At 39.6% G+C, this 5537-nt stretch overlaps 1 long non-coding RNA gene across 1 annotated transcript; it reads left to right on the top strand.

Annotated features, from left to right (window-relative positions):
* Positions 1 to 1616: 1616 nt before the first annotated feature.
* On the top strand, positions 1617 to 5281 carry LINC02433 (long intergenic non-protein coding RNA 2433). The gene is made up of 3 exons (NR_026992.1): positions 1617 to 1702; positions 1801 to 1852; positions 4025 to 5281. It is a non-coding gene; the product is annotated as a long intergenic non-protein coding RNA 2433 (long non-coding RNA).
* Positions 5282 to 5537: the final 256 nt, after the last annotated feature.

The following is a 5537-nucleotide window of genomic DNA, read 5'->3' on the forward strand; positions in this document are numbered from 1 at the left end:
AAAAGAGGACTATCTATAACACACTTAATGTAAGAACTCTTTTCTGTCAGCAACAAATGACTGAAATAAAAACAATGATGACAGTAAATCAGAGTTTTTTAATTAATCACATAGACAGTTGTGTTTTTAAGTGTTTTAGTATTCAATTTAATTTTATTTATTATAATATAAATTATTTGGAGTTTCTAATAAATCCAATAACTATACAGGACAAAATCATAAATGTGTATATTTTAGATAAGTTATAGTTATATTTTAAATTCATAATATATTTAAAATTTCCCTGAAAGATCCTTTTTCATATCCTCTTTTTTCCCCATCCTGTTCCTTCTGCCTGCAGAAATCATTAATGTATACATTAGGTGGAAGAAATATCTTTGATTAAGTTAAAGAAAGTATATGTGTCTTATGTCATCTATCCTAAATATTCATGCATGTCTTGTTTTCTGGTAATTTTTAGAAGTATTGCTTTTTTACAAAATTTGGAACATTATTAGAACTGACTGGCTAGACTTCATAGCTGATAAATGACTATGTCATTTAGAAGCATACAGAGAAATAAATCAAATGATATATTCTGTTTGTCAATAGATTTGAACATGATATACAGGAAAAGGGCTCTGGCTCTCTACCTTTGCAATGGACAAGATTCTCCCTTCTTACCTATGTGCTGCAGGCTCCAATTCAGGAAAAAAGATCCTATTTCCATCTCTGAAAGGTTAACTACCACCTTTCAATGAGAAACGTGCCTCTGTCAAGAGAGTGCCAAGGAATGGCCTGAGTGCTGGTATCCACAGCTGTAGGGGGTTATGCAGAACCAGAAAAGACTGACCGGAGGGAGACTCTGAATGTAAATGGTCAGATTGTGTCTAGAAAATTCTATAGTTAGGTTGATTTTTTTGTTTTGGTTATGTTTAGAGAGTGTCCAGTGGTATTTACCAGTCAGCTACAATTCAGAGTTTACCGAGATGGCAATACCCAAAGCTCTGAAATGCCAAATCACTGGAATAGTGGGAATTTTGGAATATATTGCCTATACCCATCAAACAATAATGTCCTCTAGTCAACTGACCCACCTGTGGTCAAAATATTCATAAGTATGAGATGATATTTATCTCATTTATTATCTAAGTAGAATTTCACCATATAAAATGTCATTGGTGTGGATGTTGATAATGGAAGAGACTATGCGTGTGTGAGGGCAGCTGGTGCAGGGGAATCTGTATCTTTGACTCAATTTCCTCTGAACATAAACTGCTCTGAAAATATAAATGTATTAAAAAAGATAATTTCCCTCTGGTATCTTCAGTTGTTGTAATAAATGAACTCAAAAGTTATGATTATTCATATTATTCATCTAAATCCTTGCAAAAATGCTATTCTGTTTATTGTACGCCCTAAGATTCATATGCATGCATGTATATATGTGTATGCATGTGCATGTTCATGCACGTGTCTAGAAAAACTTCCCATTTCAAAAAAAATATTTAAGATCCCAAAGAAAAAGCCATTGAGAGGTAGCATGATGTAACTGCTACATTTGAAGTACTGGAAAAAATAGAATTTGGTTGAATTCCAGGTCTGCCTTTTGCTGATAACATAACCTTGAGGATATCTCTTAGCCTAAGCTGTACTTCACTGTAATGAAACCTGAGAATAACATGTGCCTCATGGAGCTGTCGTAAGGAATCAGTTGATTAATGTATATAAACTGCTTGTGTTCTGTTGCTGCTTCTTTTACCATTTCATCTCCCCTAAAGTTTTTTTCATAGTTCTTACATCCTTCTCATTTCTTCAAAGTGAGAATTCTACGCTCCAGCAATAGCAGAGATAGATGACACAAATGACATTCGTAAGCATTTCTTAAAAGGCCATTATGGGACCTATGTGTATGAGGGTGGGGGATGAGGAAAGGGATTTGGTGTAGAAGTGGGTTTGTATTGTATTTTCTATAGTGTTTGATTCTTTTTCTAAGAACAAGCATGCAACATATATTATTTGAGTAATTTTGAATAGATTCACATTTAGGGTAAAAATAAGATTTATTAAAATTACTTAAACTATCCTTTGAACAACTTGTAATAGAAATAAGATCACTAACAGAAAACATTATGAAATTTTCGAACTAAGTATTGAATTGTGCTTTGCTTTCCTGATAAGTTATGTATACATATTATACAAATGTAACTAAATTATGTTTGCAGTCTTCCTTATTCAGTTAAGATAATCAAAATATCTGCTGAGGCTAGTTTCGGTTCTGTGTTCCTTATTACTTACACATACTTTTGTGATTTGTTCATTGAGCAAATAACAGGTCTAGGGAAGGTCTTTATTAGGAAACAATGAAATGGCAAAACAATGAAATGAAACAGCGAAGTGGGAACTTGAAAAGTCATTTAAATTATCAGATATAAGTGAGTTCTTGTGGTATAATAGGATTGCCAGGTTTACACTATTAGGAGAGAGAGATCTTTTACTATTAACTCCTAGGTAGTGTATTTTTTAAAAACCTTCATTGAATGTTCTTGCTTCTCCCCTGACAAGAGCACTAAGCAAGATAAAAATCATTCTTTTTTCTTGAAATCTTCTGAAAGGAGCATGCCTGCAAATAGCATACAAATAAACTGAGGAACAAATAAAAAATTAGATGTCTGTGACAACTAAACAACAAAAACCGAAACACTAGTCATGCCTTTTGCGTACTTCCATTGAGTCAGATGCTATATTAAGTGCATTGCATAGCTTATTTTGAAAATAATATCACCTATAGAATGAAACTGCTTTTTTGGTATTATCCATTATTCATAAAGGAGGGAAATATAGCTTTGAGAAGTTTAGGCACATGCCTGAGGTTACATGACAAATAAGTGGCAAACCCAATACTAGAACCTAGGAGTGTCTGATGCCAAAATAAATAAATAAATAAATTTCCTAAATAATATAAATGTCATGTTTGAATTGATCCTGATGATTAAAAAAAAAGCTATAGAAAATCATTCCCTTGAACCAATAAATTACCAGAAATTTTCAATAAAAAATAGAACATAGATTATAGAACAAGGTTAAATAAATAGGAAATAGAATTAGATGCCAAAACCTTGGGTTATTTCACATTTAGGTTATATATTTTTAAATTATAATTAGTTGACAGTTAAATATTTAAACAAATATTGCAACAGTTATATAGAGCAGTCAATTTATTTTCAATATCATTGTACATCAGTAAATATTTAGCTTTTAATTTTTATTTGGATAAACTGTCAGACTGACAGCTGTCTACCTTACTTAAGTATTGCTGACAGTAGCGGCCCATCTAGAGAGGCCACTGACATGATGCCAGCTGCAATGGGGAAGACACCTCTGGGGCTGGCTGCCCACTCCACAGAGCTAGTGGGAGACCCACTCCCTTCTGAGTCAGCAGGGTGGGAACTTTGAGCTCCCCAGGTGCAGCTGCAGCTGCAAACTCAGGCATCCCTGTGCTCTTTAGGGCTGGCAGCAGGCAGGAGCGCCACCTTCCTGGGCACAGCTGCAGCCACCCAAGCCCTGGCTGGGGACCTGGGCATCTCTGCATTCTTGGGGGCCCAAGAAGGTCCCTTGCCCCCGCAGGCTCGGAGGTGTCTGCACTCGCTGCTGACCTCTCCCTACTCCCAGAGTCCACTCTGATCTCGGAGCAAGGTTGGGACAGAGCTCAGGCACTGTCACCACCCGGCTGGGTATGTGCATGCTTGGGGCAGGGCTGACATGCCAGCAGCCCCTTGCTGCTTGCCCCCATCCAGACTTTGGGCACTGACAAGCATGGGAGGGAAGCTGAGGGGGAGATGAGGGCAACTCGGTGCTGGCCTGCAGGCACCCCGTGACATGAACAGCCTGGGTACCATGAAGGGTGGGAGGAGGCAGACAGGCGCCTAGGCAGAAGTGGGCGGGTCCTCAGTGAAGCCCCACCTTCAGGCTGGGAGGGCCTGAAGCCTGGGGTTCAGGCTGCGGATTGCACGACCAGAGTGGAAGCTTATGGTGCTTTTTCCAGGCCCGCCCATGGCTGCCCATGGACCAATTGGCATGTGCTTCCTTCCCTCTGAGGCCCATAGAAGCCCTGGACTCAATCTGACTCAAGGAGATGATGGGACTACAAGCTGCGGAAAGGAGCTACCCACTCCAAGGTCTCTGCTGAGAGCTGAACACTCATCAAGACACCCTGCCTGCAGGGAGGAGTTACCCAATGCAGGTCTCCTCTGAGCTGTTCCATTGCTCAATAAAACTCCTCTTTGCCTTGCTCACCCTCCACTTGTCCGTCTACCTCATTCTTCCTGGACACAGGACAAGAACTCGGGACCTGCAAAAGGGCTGTAACACAAACAGGGCTGAAACACATCCCTTGCTCGCCATATTGTAGGTGACAAGAAGGAGAGACAAGAGAAGGAGAGAAGAGCTGCAGCCCTTCTGGGAGCCCAGGCCTAGGAGATCCCTGAGCCAGGGCTATGACACCCTCTTTGGGGCTCTATGGTTCCTGGTGTCTCCAAGCTTCCGGATGCCACTGCATTCCTCAGTGCCAGCCGTGGAAGCTGCTGTGGTACATTTGGTCCAGCCACAGCCTTGCAGGGAGCTGGCTCCCATGCTGGTGCCTATAGCTCCCCGCCCCACCACAGCCAGCTTGCCTGGCCATGCACAGTGGCCAGACCTCATGCTCACTCATGCACCCTTCGCCACTCCGCACCTGGCCCGCCCTTGGCAGGTATGGGATTCAGGGATCCAGCCCCAGCCGATTGCAGCCTGCCAGGCCGAGTGGGTGGAATGAGACCTGTGGGCCCAAGCAAAACTCAGGCAAAGGCACCACTGGCCACATAGGTTTCCAGCTGGTGAAGTGACACCCTGAGAATCCCATGACATTATCATACACTCTTCTTAAAAACTGAACCCGAGGGAAAAAATGATACCCTTGAACGGTGAGGCATAATGAAAGTTTATTTAATGATTCTTGTATTTATTACTACTGCTTTACTGCCTGTAGCAGGTATCACAATGTACCGATTTATTAGGCTGTAGTTAGAAAACAATTGCTTCTTTACACATTATAAATGTAACCTGGCATTATATTTAAGCTAAGAACATGCATGTTTTTAATACTCGAATTTCAACTCAAGAGAAAAAAAAGTTCTATGTTACACTAGTGTGATGGATTTTTTAATTACTAAATGCTAATATTAAGGGTAATTTGAGGTAAAACAAAAAATAAAAAGTTCATGTAGTAATCAAAGCATCTACTCTAGGTTGTTAAAAATAAAAATATCTTGGTAATTATTTTATTATTCTTTAACACTAAAGAGGTTTACCTCAGGTTTTTAAATAAAACCTTCAACAGAAATATTAGCAATGTGAGTATCAGAGCACTGGCAAAGAAAAAAGCAAAAGCCGATGGCATTTTTCAGACCATATTACCAGTAGCTATGTTACTGTATAAATTATATGATAACATATTTTGCTATTAATGTCCCAAATACAAATACATGTTTGCATATATAAATGCAGGCCCATAGAGATAT

The sequence above is a fragment of the Homo sapiens genome, chromosome 4 (assembly GCF_000001405.40).
Source record: "Homo sapiens chromosome 4, GRCh38.p14 Primary Assembly".
In the NCBI taxonomy this organism is placed as follows: domain Eukaryota; kingdom Metazoa; phylum Chordata; class Mammalia; order Primates; family Hominidae; genus Homo; species Homo sapiens.